The 15,637-nt window shown below is 34.7% G+C and overlaps 1 long non-coding RNA gene across 1 annotated transcript; it reads left to right on the top strand.

The window, feature by feature from the left end:
* The first annotated feature begins 5,082 nt into the window (after positions 1-5,082).
* On the top strand, positions 5,083-9,055 carry LOC124904227 (uncharacterized). The gene is made up of 2 exons (XR_007066240.1): positions 5,083-8,045; positions 8,204-9,055. It is a non-coding gene; the product is annotated as an uncharacterized LOC124904227 (long non-coding RNA).
* Positions 9,056-15,637: the final 6,582 nt, after the last annotated feature.

The following is a 15,637-nucleotide window of genomic DNA, read 5'->3' as shown; positions in this document are numbered from 1 at the left end:
TTCTAAAACAAGAAGGATTAGTTAATATTGATTGGCTGTTTGGTGAGATGTAAAATGTAAAAAGTACTTTGAAATATGTGTTATATCTGTGTTTAAAGAGAGAGCGAGACAAAATAATAAGAACATTAAAGTTAGAAATGTCTACTTCAATTGGATCCACTCCCTTAGTAAGTCAGTAAGTGCAGTGTAATGCTCTTTAAAGCATAGTTAGAGGATTTAAAATCCGTAATGACCTTGAAGGTCTTACCAGGGTTCCAGATAATCAATACTGTTAATAATCACCTAATGCGTATTAAGGATCAATACATTCTAAAATTTAAAATAGCCTGATTTGGAATCATGTTGGTACTAATTAAAATTCCAATTTTAGCCAACAAAAACATAATTGAATATAAATGTTGGTTAAATGAATAGATAACTGCATGAATAGAATAAAAATCCCAGGCATAAATTATGATGGTTTGCTTTCTGGTCCTGCAACATATTCTTTTTGAATATTCTAATCTCAGATAATTACATACAGATTTTAAAAGTCAAATTTTCTATTAAGATCAATTCTTTCTTCTATGTACATTATCCATTAGGTATTAAATTCCATTGCATAGAGACAGTGAGAAGATTAATTTGGGTGGATTTGATTGTTGGGGTAAATATAGTATATGAAAATTAATCTTAAACTAAATTAAAAATTCAAGTTTCCCCAGCCTACACTTACTCTGTAGCTCAAAAGTTTTTAACTTTGGGTGTACTTCAAATTGTCTGGGGGAACGTTTAAAAATACCATTTAGTGAATCCCACCCAGGGCAATTAAATCAGAATCTCTGTAGGTGGAGCATTAGTGTTTCTCAGAATCCTCCCAGTGATTCCAGTGTGCATCCAGGGCTGAGAACCAACATTCTAGTCTTTTTATTAGCTTTATTAGCATTGATCTTAAGATCCCCTACTCTAGGATGTCAGAATTTCAGGGATAAAGACATGGTCAGTAAAAGCTACCTTAGTCATTTGTTCATTCACCCTGACAACATATATATTAAGATGACAGAATTAAATGTTACATGAAGATCTCGGGAACACCAACCAATAACACAAAGCCCTAGTTCTCAAGTGACTGAGAGTCTAGTATAAGGGGGAAAAGACAGGTGAAATACTGTATTAAAAGATATACAAGAAAAAAATAAGGCCAACCTGATATCTCACCATCACCACAAAAGCAACACATCCAAAAGCTTCTCTCTTCTCTCTCCACACATTTTCCTAGTCCTTAGATATTAGGACCACAATCCTAGAAAACTAAGCTTGGATATTAGCCTGGCGCTGACTCCTTCCCACATGTCTTGAGTTGACAAATTGTGTGGGTTTTCCCTCAACAGTATTCCTTACATCTGCATCCTCCTCTGGATTCTCACTTTGTGCTTATAGTCTTATTTAATGTTGGTCTAGAATATAAATACAGTGATATAACTTGACTCTCTATACATACTTCCTTATTGCAAAACATAACTGGTCATGTCCAAAAACCTCCAGTGATTTTTTTTATGTATAAGAATTTTAAATTACTGATTTTTCAAATTCTAATAACCTCCACTATTTGTCCAAACCATGTAAGTATTTATTCTGGTAGTTTATATGAATATTATCAAGAAGCAATGAAAAAAAGCTAACTAAATATTTCACAGGAACGGAAAACCAAACACCGCATGTTCTCACTCATAAGTGGGAGTTGAATAAGGAGAACACACAGACATAGGGAGGGCAACATCACACACTGGGGCCTGTTGGAGGGTGAGGGGGTTAGGGGAGGGATAGCATTAGGAGAAATACCAAACATAGATGATGGGTTGATGGGTGAAGCAAACCACAATGGCACGTGTATACCTATGTAACAAACCTTCACCTTCTGCACAGGTATCCCAGAACTTAAAGTATAACAAAAATAAAAATAAATAAATATTTCATACATGTCAAACACAAACTTTTATGAATATATTACAAGGAGGAATGCAAAAAGCAAAAATGTAAAATTATAGTACATAGTATGGGAATATTAAACATCATTCCAGTATAAATTATTCAGAGTCAATTAAAGTATTATTAAAATAGCAAACAAAATAGTAGATTAAGTGGAAAAAACAATTAAGATAATTGAAAGCAAAATAATATTCTTGGATTTTACAGATTTGTGATGTAAAGAAGCAAAGCTTCATTTGCTCCATTTTGTTGTAATTTTTCTAACTGCTCCAGAAATTCTTTTAACATCTACACTGCTCAGGGAAACGCTGTAGAGGACACTGTAAACTCTTTCTGGATATTTTCCTTTGATTCCTTCATCTTCAGATAATCCTACTTTTTTCATAAATGCAAGATCTTTGTTACTACCTTTTTTTCTTTTCAAGAACTGGAATATTTTTAATTCAGTTAGACCCATAATTTTTATTTCTTTTTTTTTTTAACATTTCCAGTTTGTATTTACCGTCTTTTGTTTTGTGTACTTGGAAATACCTATGCAGAGTTACCGCTCTCCCTATCAACACTGTCTTAACACATGTGCCATCAGAGTAGGCTTATTCCTGCAAAACAAGTTTGCAGCACCACAGTATGTTTGCTTATTATGTGTGGACCATTTGTCTGTTTGTCTTTTTTGTATAAATTGAACAATGAAATCATTCATTTTACTTGTATGATGTAATAAATGTCAGAATAATAAAACAATATTATACTAACAAAATTACCAGTACTTTGGACTTCAAATTAATATGACATTATTGAATGCTGAAATACTGAAAGCCTGTATTGAAATCACTAGATTGCATTATTAATATCACAGTACTTCTTAAAATAATGGTATTTTTACTAGGTGGACTTTTCTAAGTGAGGCACTGTAGGTACAGTGGTCCAAATTTACATAATCCTCTGAAATATTCTGTAATTTAATTATTGTGACTCTATTGTAAAGTAATAAAATTGCTAAGGTCATATAGTTGCCCATCAGAAGAAGCAATTCCTGTTATTTAGTTAGTGTCTTTGCATTAGATTGAAATGTCAGAAGGTCACTGGAAAGTTTGCTAATATTTTTAAAATTGTGTTTTTATTCTTTGCATTGTTTCTGAGATTAAAAAATCATTTAACATAATGTATTGTGTTTTATTTGGAGAAAATTCTTTGTTACATTACTTTTTATTTGTAACATTTACATTTCACATATATGACAGTAAATTTTATATATATAAATATATATATATACAAAAGGAATTTTATTTCAAGGAGCCCAGTTTTAATAACTTACTATCATACTATTGGTGGCAAAAAATTTAAAAAAATTAAATTTTCATTTTACAATATGATTTTTAAGATTTTAAATTTTATTTATATTTCTAATTTCATATGTTTTCTGACGTTTCTCTATCAGAACACACACAGACATATTCACACATATGTTTACATAGATGTTCTGACTTTTGCTTGAAAATTTTGTTCTACCCAGAATAACCCCATTCATCCTTTCCATCTTTCTAAATCTTATCCATTCTTCAAAACATTGTATAAATCCTGCCTATGCTTCTCTGGCCACAGTAGCATTGAATCCTCTCTCCTTCCTCTGGATATCTTTGGTCTTTAATATTTGTATCATTAATTTATTAAATATGTTCATTCTCAATAGTTCTTAGAGTTATGCTGCTTAATATTTTTATTTAACTTTTGTATGCAGTGATTTAACTGTAAACTTTTTGAGAACAGAGTGCTAAGTTCATCTTTATCAATTTGCTCTCTAATTGCCTTCTGTAAAAACTAGTAAATACAACAGAAACAAGCAATAAAACCCACACTGCCCACATCTTACATTTTATATGGGAAAGTGATAAGATTTAAAATAAATATATTTATTATGATAATGTTGAGTATTGATATTAATTCTCCCATGTGACGTGTATATGGATATATATGTATGCTTGTATTTATAAAGAAACTATTATAACTTAATTCTGATTAGCCTCTTGCAGCTTTTCAAAATTCATTCTCCTGTGTCTTCTCATGACTGATAACTTGGAAAGGTGAGTGACTGCCATGATAGTCCTTGTTTATTTAGGAGGAAACTGGTGTTCAGAGAATTATAATTTGATGATAAAGATTTGATCATTATTAATTGGCTAAGGAGGTGCCATAATTAGAGTCTAGGAGTCTTCTAATCCAGTTTCTCTCAGAGTATCTGCACTGAAAGACCAACTCCCCACCCACCCCCAATATGCTGCTAACCATTATTTTTTAGTAATATAATTGAACTACTAGAAAAATAAAAAAATAAGACGAAGAATTCCTAAATTGTTAATTTCAATGTACTTATTGTTTTGGTTGGATAACAAATAGCACATGGAACAGCTCCAGTCTCTGGATCACACTTTCAGTGTTGCTTGTGTCAATCATGACATATCCCTTCTAAAAGAATCATCCTCATCCAGAACATCTGCCATCTAAATTGCTATGTTTACTCACACAGGATCTAACCCTAACGCTAACCCAACCCAAACACTAACTCTTTAAATTTACAGCTGAATGGAGTGGGGCCAAAAAATAGATTGGCCAGCAATTTTTGAACTGTGTGGCCAGGCTGCAAAAGATGAGCTGGGCTCATCAGTATTTTTGTCTCTAGACTTAGATATAATATGCGAAGAAAAAAATTTTCTATGAAATTCCAAGGTTTGGGACATGGTTAAAATGTGAACGAGCAGAAACTTTGAGTAATCCGTGAAAGCTGGATTGGGGCAGGGCAGATAGAGGAATATGTGCAATGCAGCTGAGTCATATTAATAGTAGATGACTAAAGATTAAAGAACTGCTGGGCCAGTCACAGTGGCTCATGCCTGTAATCCCGGCACTTTGGGAGGCCGCGGCGGATGGATCACGAGGTCAGGAGTTCGAGACCAGCCTGGCCAACATGGTGAAACCCCATCTCTACTAAAAATACAAAAGTTAACTGGGCATGTAGGCGCACGCCTATCCCAGCTATTCGGGAGGCTGAGGCAGGAGAATCGCTTGAACCCAGGAGGTGGAGGTTACAGTGAGCCAAGATCACGCCATTGCACTCCAGCCTGGGCGACAGGGCGAGACTCCATCTAAAACAACAACAACAAAGATTAAAGAACTGTGCTGAAGCTGAAAAAGCTGCTAGAATTCTAGAATTACCCCCAGTACCCCTTAGCCCAAGGCATGAAACATCATTTTCTTTGAATGTCCTAAGATACAGATCCTACACTTCTTACAATGTACATCTATATCCTAGCTGGCACAAATATGTCTCTGAATTATTCAAGAAGCTTAGCTTAACCAGGACATAGTCCCAGGCTTTTCTTATTATGCCAAACAAGCTTATTTCAGAACCAATAGAAGCCATATTTGAAAGACAAGTTATTGGCATCCACATCTCAGCAATGAGATTGTAAACCAAACTGTGTTGATCTGGTGGAACTATCTTCTGTTTGCTACTAAAATCTGTCTCCTACATACCTACTTTTCAGTTTCTTTGTTTTTAACTTAGTCACAAAAAAAGAATAATTACAACATTTTTCATAGTTAATTATAGTCTGATTTTGCTCAAGGAGGAAATATCTTAAAATTTATACCAAATTATCTCAATAATGGATGAGCTCCCACAATTCATCTGCCCGCTGTATGTTCTCCGATTTGCAGAGCTTTTTAGAACCAACCCCTACTCTTTAATGGGCCAGACATGTGCTTTTAGTTGCACTAACCCAGACACACATCATATATTAATGGCTTCTGGAATCACCCCAGAAATCAAAGGTGTAGGTATGAAATTGAGTGCACAGTGATTTTCAAAACATGTTTTATTGCTTGATGCTTCTTTTTTTTTAAAAAGGAAAATGTTCAGATAGATTTTAACTCCTTAGCTATATTAAAATAGCATATTTGCTTCACAGTTTAAAAGTTTCTCTTAGTACAAAAATGAAATCATAGCTTCTTTTTTTATTCTTCAGTAAATTCTAAATTTTAAATTACTGCTAAATTAAATGGTTTGTGTCAGATGTTAACAATATGCGGCTTTAGATTAAAACAAGCTCCATGTAATCTTACTGAGCCAGTAGGTCATAGAAATAAGAGAAAATGTGCTTGAATCACAGGAGAGAAGGGATGTTGGATAGATCTGTGAAATCTTTATGTTGTAGTATCAGCTGATTGATAGCAGTGATTCTCAGAAGGGTTCCAATATTAAGCCTTTCAAAAGCTGGAGATTAGTGCAACCATGGTGAACACAGTGACATTCTGGCAAAGAAAAAAGGGTCAGGGCTGGCAAAATGTGGCAGGTGTCAAAATAAAAGGTTAGGCTCTATGCCTGGGGACCCATCTGTCAGATAAAAGTATGACAAGGCAATTAATGTGTTTATTTATGTTGCTTATGACAAACCATGCATTCCCTAAAAATGATCAATTTAAACATTATCAACTGTTTTCTGGAAATTAAAATTAATATAAAAATAAAATGCTTAAAATAAAAAGCATGGTGTAATATTGAAATGGCTTGTTTATATAACCAAATAAAGTTAACTTTGGGGAATTATAGTAGTCTTCATTGAAGGATTAGAACTATTAAATATAACATCTTGACAATATAGAGGTTATATTAAGGATCCACAAAACTGATGTTTATGTTGCAAGATAATCTTGGTAGCACTTCTCATAAGTTCAGCATGTTTTATATTCATTGAGCTAAATTTGATAATTTCATAATAAAATGAAGCCAAGAAAATTATGAAGAAATAGAATTTAGATATCCAAGCTATGCGTCTTGCATTTTCTTTAAATGTTTTGTTCACAACCTTGTCATTATTAGAGCTTTCATTTTCACTTTGTGACTAATCCTGACTTCTCTTTAATTTATTTATTATTTATTTAGCTTTCTCACTACTTCTGTTTCACCATCTGTTTAAACTAGAATATGTTTAGATTTAATATTCATCAGTGATACATTTTCCTACAGATAAAATAAATTACTACAAGCTCCTAAAATGTCATGTGCTTTACAGGTCAATAAAATGTAACCCAGAATTTTGAGAGAAACAGACTTTACTACAGTCTAAAGTTTTATGCAAAAACTGATCATCCCCATTCTTTCCTTGAATAAAGAAAAGAAGCTGTCAATTACCATGTATTAATAAGTGAGGCTCACACCTTATAGTAACAACAAAATTAGAAGAGAAATAATACGTATGTCTAGTGTAATGTGATATGCAGAAGAAAAATTTAAATTCTTTAATTGTAAAGGAAAAAAGCCAATATGATAATGTTATTTCCAAGGTGCACTTTCTGTCTGCTGAGCGATGAAATTAACAAGTAAAGCCATTGGAATAGTCAATAAAATCATTTGGCTTTGGAAAGAACAGAGGTATTTTGTTCAATAGTTTTGTTTTCTTTAGGCTGAGACAGCAATTATGCCATCATCATCACTTTCCATCTTTTAGAAGGATATTGGTTAAATTTTGAGTTAATGATTTTTTTCTCCCCAAGATTCCTTTCTAGCCCCTAACATTACTATAGTCTTAAACTATCTTCTGTTTGTCATACAAAATGGCTTCTCATAGAACAACACCAATGTCAGGGTAGGAGCTGAGGAAGAAAAAGTAAATAAAAATACACAAAATCCAAACTTTGTTATATGTTCCATTCAGTGGCCTTATACATGACTTACAAATTTTGTTTGAAGTTTAATTATAACTAACCACTATTTAATTCGAATTCACTGCTGGCTGTATTTCCTGATTCAGAGTTCCATATTGCTTCTATTGCTGGTTTTAATTTATTTGAACCTCAGTCTTCTAAATTGTCTCTATTTCCTATCCATTATTTTTTATTTGCCTAGAGGTACTTGAAAATGCATTCAGAAAAAAAAAATTCTTACTCACCATTTTGTACAACTCTTCAAAACTCTAGGATATGCTACATAATGTACATAATAAAAGTAGTAATTTCAACAGAAAATCAAGATGCCACTCGATTTTGCCATGGATTTATAAAAATGACACATCAGACAACAGGTAAGTTTTTTTTTAACTTATTGACCATGATAACAATCCATTATCAACTAGCTATTTCACAGGATATATTCTGTCTTTACATTGGAAGAAAAATATACAATGAAACTCATTTTATAAAAAGAAAAACCAATTTAATTTATACCTTTATATTTTCACAGAAGCATATGAGAAAAATTTGCTGGGTATCTACTCACTTCAATTCAAACATTTGAAGAAATTATGAAAATTCCGATGAGTTTTTAAAGTTTGTGCTTGCTCTGGTGTAGTGTAGCCATGCATTGATCTGTCATCACAGGTATGCTTTCATAAATTTCCCCTCAACCAATCAGATAGAAATTCATACCAATTTGCAAAATTGTTTTTCTTATTTTTTAAAGCTTAACACATGTAAGATAATTTGGGAAAAATAGATTTTCTCATTTATCATTCTTTCAATCCATGATAATGTTAAATGGTATTTTTGAGTACCTTTATTATTTTAACAAAGGATAAAAATTCTTGGTGTAAAATCGGTTAAATGAAGAAAGTACCCAAGTACAATTTTATTTATGTTGTGAAAAAAATGCTATCAGTTTGAAAAGTTCAATTGTTTCCAAATTGTTAAAATGAGTCCCTATCAATCATCAAATGTTTTTTTGTATCTGCATCAAATAATTTTGGATCTTATGCATTCTCAAGGTATCATCCCTATCTCAGGGCTTCCATATGTGTTTCTTGTATAGTCTATTGTTTTGTTTTATTTTAGTTGATCAACAACTTATATAGCACAAGGTAAGTATTATGTCATCCCCATTTATAGATGAAAAATCTCTGATACAGAGTGGGTAAATAATTTTTAAAATGTGAGCCCACCTTATTTTAGTAATAAGACTTCCTATCCATCTTCTTACTTGCTCAAACCAGAATGCTGAAGAACCAACAAGTCAAAATGTGAAAGTTGTGCCATAAGGTAAGAAAAAAATAAATATGTGATGAAAAAGAAAAAAGAAAGGAAACAGCAGCAGCAAACAGTCTAAAACAGCAAAGAAATTTGTCGGGGGCCAAACATAAGAATTTTAAGATGAAATGTGGCAATAAAATGCAAATAAGAAATAACACAAAGAAATTGTGAAAGCTTAAGGAAAAAAAGAGGATAATGGAATGAAAGAAGCATAAAACTTTTCCTTGACGTCTAACATATAACTTGTATAATTCTGAAAAACCATTTCCTGTATTAATTTCCAAAATAGTGTAAAAGATATCTGTGTTTCTGAAATTAAAAATGTTATTGACATTCATAATTTTTTATGATTTGTCAGGTGACTAGTTTATTATGTTAGGAAGCCATCACTGTATGATGATTTAGAGGATGGGCTTTGTAGACAACTGGTAGCTCAAATCCTGGCTCTCCTACTTCCTATTATATCTGTGATCTTGGCAGTCATGTGTCAGAGCCACCTCCTACTGGTTTATGATAGCTGATTGTGTGCATCTCTTCCCAACATTGTGCTCAGTGACATAATTGGTAGTTTGAAATCAGCCAAGATGAGATTATTTACACCTCTAAAATTGGCACACTAAATCAGACAATCATGGTTTTATTCCCTATGTACCAGCTTACCAGAACACCACTGGACTTTGGGCAAGTTTCCTAACCTTTATGAACCTAAAGGGATTTTTTTTTCATCTGAAAAGTAAAATTAAATACGACAGGTTCACGTAAGACTCTGAAAACCCTTCATAGGATGATATATTTTACATGATTCCTGGTACATAGTAAACTTCAATAATGGTAACACTGTAGTATTTTAATTCAGCCTATTGTATATAGAACATAGAACAGTTTCACATTTCTAACATCCTAGAAAGCGTTTCAAATAGTTCATCAAAATTCCAGGAGAGGAGGACTTGTAAAAATGACTTTACTGATTTTATAGATGAAATGGTTTCTCCTAAATATTATTAGATTTTTGTGAAGAAGATAAACAGTTACTAATACTTGAATAGTAAATTCCTTCTGTATGATTAGTTTAGAAAAAAACTGTTTCCTACAGTGATATATATAAGCTTCTCTCTCTCTATATATATACACACACACACACACACACACACACACACACACACACACACACACATATAGAAGCTCAAGGGCACTTCTTGAAGTTTTAACCCACTCCCCTGAATTAGATTAAATTCATGGCTTCAGTTCTTCAAAACTTCTTGATAAGTTAACATGAGTACTGATGCTAGCTATACGCCCCACTGTTCAGAAAGCTCTCATAGAAAATTCTGAGCCAGAGGCCACTGTGTCTATCATGATGACAGACGGTATGTGTAACTTGAAACTTTAAAGGTAGACACTGCAGGAAATAAATTTAAGGAAAGATTAAACAGTCTAGAGATAACCCTGCTTAGTTGCCTACTTAAAAACTCTCATCCAGGTAGTCTTCAATATGAATTACTCTTAAGATCCTTTTTTCATTTCTGGCCTTGGAATTTAATTATTTGTAATATTTTAAAATATCATACATATGCATTTTCTGATATAGCTTATAAATTGTAAAGATCATGTTATCATTAAAAATATTTTAAGGATCTAAGTAATTTTCTAGTAGAGAAAAAAAAACTACTGAAGTTGAATTGAAATGTAAGTCCTTTATTACTTCAAAGACTTTATGGTAGATTGTTTACAAAGAAAATTGAAATAATTTCTCCTATCCCTGTATGCACACATCTTTGCAATATGACTTTGCTGTTCCTCTCATCAAGAGCTAAACTTTATTTCTCTCCCCCTTCAATCTGGCTTTGCCAGCTGACTTGCTTTGGCCAATATGACACTAGCAAACCTGATGAGAGCAGAGGTTTGACAAGCACGTGCACATTAGGGCTTGCTGTCCTTGCTGCCCTGAGAGTGCCATGTGAAAAAGCTTGAGCTAGCTGCTGGGAGGAGAGACCACATTGGGCGGAGATGAACCATACCAGCTGAGGCTCCCTGGACCAAACACCAGACATATGAGCAAGGTCACTGTAGACCATTCAGCCCTGTATGACCTGTTTGCTAAATGGAGTACCAATTTATCACCCACAGACTCATGAGCAAAAATAAAATAAAAATTTTGTTTGGAACTGCGGATTGGCAGCCCATGGACCAAATCCAGTCCACTACATGATATTGTGTATTGTCTAAGGTTGTTTTCACACTACAGTGGCAGAGTTGAATAGTTACAGCAGAGACCATATGGCCTGGAAAGCCCAAAATATTTACTTCTTCCCCTTTACAGAATATGTTTGCTGATTCCTGTTTTTTGTTTGCTTGTTTGGTTGGTTGGTTGGGTTTTTTTGTTGTTTTTTTGTTTGTTTATTTTTATTTTTTATTATACTTTAAGTTTTAGGGTACATGTGCACATTGTGCAGGTTAGTTACATATGTATACATGTGCCATGCTGGTGCGCTGCACCCACTAACTCGTCATCTAGCATTAGATATATCTCCCAGTGCTATCCCTCCCCCCTCCCCCCACCCCACAACAGTCCCCAGAGTGTGATGTTCCCCTTCCTGTGTCCATGTGATCTCATTGTTCAATTCCCACCTATGAGTGAGAATATGCGGTGTTTGGTTTTTTGTTCTTGCGATAGTTTACTGAGAATGATGATTTCCAATTTCATCCATGTCCCTACAAAGGACATGAACTCATCATTTTTTATGGCTGCATAGTATTCCATGGTGTATATGTGCCACATTTTCTTAATCCAGTCTATCGTTGTTGGACATTTGGGTTGGTTCCAAGTCTTTGCTATTGTGAATAATGCCGCAATAAACATACGTGTGCATGTGTCTTTATAGCAGCATGATTTATTTGTTATTTTAAGACGAAGTCCAGGCTGGAGCGCAGTGGCCCGATCTCCGCTCACTGCAAGCTCCGCCTCCCAGGTTCACGCCATTGTCCTGCCCCAGCTTCCTGAGTAGCTGGAACTACAGGCGCCAGCCACCACGCCCGGCTAATTTTTCTGTATTTTTAGTAGAGACGGGGTTTCACTGTGTTAGCCAGGATGGTCTTGATCTCCTGACCTCGTGATCCGCCTACCTCGGCCTCCCAAAGTGCTGGGATTACAGGCGTGAGCCACCGCGCCCGGCCTGCTGATCCCTGTTTTAAGTCACTAAGATTTGAGGTGATTTGTTAAGCAGCAATAGATAAATGGCACAGAACTGTTTTCCAAAAGGGAATATGTCCCATTTTTTATTAAATGAATTAATTTTTATGCTCATAAAAAAATACAAGCCGTACCCACCCTCCCCCCCGGCCGCCCCCCGCAGGGCCAATAATCCTTCTATGGCTAAAAGATTACGATTCAGTTTGCATCTCTAAAGTACAGTTATGGAGACTGCTAGTTTTACACCACTATCTGTTTCTTCCCTTTTTCCACAATTGGAACTGGTCATGCACCCACCCAGTCAGGGAATACATTTCTGAGCTTCTATGTCAATTATGTGTGACCACAAGACTAGGTTTTCACTTCTAGAGTATGAATGGCAATCATGCATGGATTTCTTGGGCTTTCTCTATGCTCTTCTTCCCCTCTCCACTACCTGGAATCTATAGCAAACTGACTTACAATTCAGAGAATTAGAATGTCCTAGAGAAAGGAGGAGCACCAATGAGAGGAACCTTGATCACTTAAAACCTATGTAGAGCAAGGACTTTCCCCAACTTAAAACACTATAATGTTGAATCTTCCTTAAGCCACTGAATTATCAATGGATGTCATTTTCATAGCAGGCTACTCTTATCCTAACTAAAGTAATGGTTTTATACAATATACTTTGGCATCAGAATGATTTAGTTGGTAAAACATTGGATCTTGGGTCAAAAACTCTAGGGTACTTTGATAAACTCTGCCCCAATTTTCTGAGTTGGTCGGAGGCTTGTTACTTACAGTAACTGTGATTTTATTTTCCTAGATAAAAATATACAACTCCAGGTAGGCGAAACAGGAATTTCTAACACTGACCTTTCTAATTCCTAATTCTCCCAAGTAAGAGGGCTACAATAACCGGTGATTGCCCTAGGCATGTGTCATTTTAGTCCCAAGAAATGCTTGTATACCAACATACTGCCTTAGGGTAATGTAATGGGAAAATAATCAAGGTGAGTTTTTGGCATCTGGACAGCCACAGATAGCTTTCCCATGAAAGGGCAAATATACTCCATTTTGAGACAATTAGAACAAAATTGGGGGAGACGATTTTAGTTACATTCTGTATATACATTCAATGATGGCAGCCAGTAAGTCCTAAACTTCAGTGTGTATGAAGGGAACTTGTTAATCATGCAAATTTGAGGACTCTCCCACGTGCCCCAGAGATCATACTTCGGTGGAACTAGAGTTGACCCTATAATCTCAAGGTTAAATATTACTTTAAGTGATTCTTTTTTTTTTTTTTTCTTTGAGAAGGAGTGTCTGTCACCCAGGCTGGAGTGCAGTGGCGCCATCTCAGCTCACTGCAATCTCTGCCTCCCGGGTTCAAGTGATTCTCCTGCCTCAGCCTCCTGAGCAGCTGGGACTACAGGTGCTTGCCACCACGCCAGGCTAATTTTTTGTGTTTTCAGTAGAGGCGGGGTTTCACTGTGTTAGCCAGGATGGTCGTGATCTCCTGCCCTCGTGATCTGCCCGCCTCAGTCTCCGAAAGTGTTGGGATTACAGGCATGAGCCACCATGCCTGGCCTAAGTGATTCTTAGATAGTGACCCTTCTTTGAGAAACCACAGCCACAGCAGAAATTGAATTCAGATATTAAGATTCAGTTCAAGGAAATGCAGAAATCGAGATATGGCAGCAAAATCCTGGTGCAAAAGACTTAACAGAGTTTCCAAATGAGAAGCTTCTAGATTTTAAAACGTTATTTTAGGAATGATTTTATTGAAAAATAAAGAAGTTCAAAACAAAATTGTGAAAATGAAATTGGCCTGTTTTGCCTGTGAACTCCCTACTCAGCCTTCAGTATCCAATTTAAAAGTAACTTCCTCTGGAAGTTGTATTAGGTGTCACTGTTATGTGCTCTCATCATACTCCATAATTTCTGGTTCAGAGCAAATAGCACGTTGAGCTTAGTTATCTAATTGCCTACCTTCCCTGTTGAACTAAATACTCTGTAAGGAAAGAAATTGTGTCTTTCTTGCTCACCAAAATATCCCCAGAGCTTATTAGGATGCCAGGAATACAAGAGGTGTTCAACAAATAGTTGTCGAAGGAATGAATCTCTGAATGGGAAATAGCTAGCTGATTTTACCAGCATAGGAAATGGACATGAACAGTAACGAGACAAAGTGGAAACTGCCTAAAGGATGTGCTTATATAAAGCAGATGACTTAAGCAATATAGACCCAGAGATGTATTCAGAAAATAATACTGGGCCATGTCCCCTTGTGGGCATTTTACTTTGAAGGAAAGAAAAGTGGTAGATTTTAGTGCAGGGACAAGGATTGGAAGGTAAAGTCCTTATTCAGACCAATCTTCCTGCAGGGACTATACGTAGCTTTGGGAAAGGGACTTTGAAACACTTTGATTTTCTTTTCAGTAATATAATTATGGTACTTATTCTTTTATGTTATTAAATATTCTTTTGGATAACACTGAGGAAGGGGTGTTTGTGAGAAACAGCACTGGTATTTAGAGTTCCCAGCTATGAAGGAAATGCTCTTCACAGGTATTAGAGTACAACTGACTTGAAAAAAAATTCATCTCTCCGTGGTTATATTTCTACAAGAAGTTGTTTAAATTTAAGTAAAATATTAATATATGTTATTTGTCTAACAGTGAAAGAGAAAAAATCAAGAACAATAAAACATTAGAGAAGAAAATAGAAAAATCCTGTGAAAAAGGTCCAAATGCAGGCTGCAAAGAGGGGAAGCCAGTCCTAGCAAACACCTAACCAACTAAATGACCTGAAAAAAAAGTCTGTCAGCCTCTATCTACCTGGATCTCATTAGTAAAATTAGGAGGCAGGATGAAATAATTTATAAGGTTGCTATTAGCTTTAAAATTTTTATGAGTTCAGAGCCTTTAAAAACATGATGTCTTCAGCAGAAAACACCACTGTGAATTTTTTTTCAATATTCCTTTTAACTATAATGGAAACAAGTTAAAAATAATAGGTCTAATGTTCATAAATCCATTAAATATTTACTGGTCACTCTCTTGATGACTATTTTGATTTAATACATGGTATATATAAATCATCAATATTTTCAAGTTCAAAAATGCACAGGGAGGAATTTTATGGCTTCTGTGATGGCTTTGAACAAAAGTGTAATTTACTTCCTTGTTTGTGTAAGTGTTTATATACTGATCATTTGTCAGTAAGCCTGAGAATCTAAGCACAATATTATATATGCATGCTAAGTGCTTAGTTTATCATTATGATTTTCCTCTTGAATTTAAATTGTGTAATGCAGATAATTTAACTTTTCTAGGGTTCTCGTTTATTTTTAAAATGTTAGTGTCCAGGTAACAACCAGAAAAAAAAAAATTCTAAGCCATGTGGTATGCTAATACTGAAAATAAAATGAGTGTTATTTCCCTTGAGGGAAATGTAATTAAAGATAAAGGGGAGATA

This window comes from Homo sapiens, chromosome 1 (genome assembly GCF_000001405.40).
Source record: "Homo sapiens chromosome 1, GRCh38.p14 Primary Assembly".
In the NCBI taxonomy this organism is placed as follows: domain Eukaryota; kingdom Metazoa; phylum Chordata; class Mammalia; order Primates; family Hominidae; genus Homo; species Homo sapiens.
The sequence above is the reverse complement of the archived record's forward strand: the minus strand, read 5'-3'. Positions and strand labels throughout refer to the sequence as shown.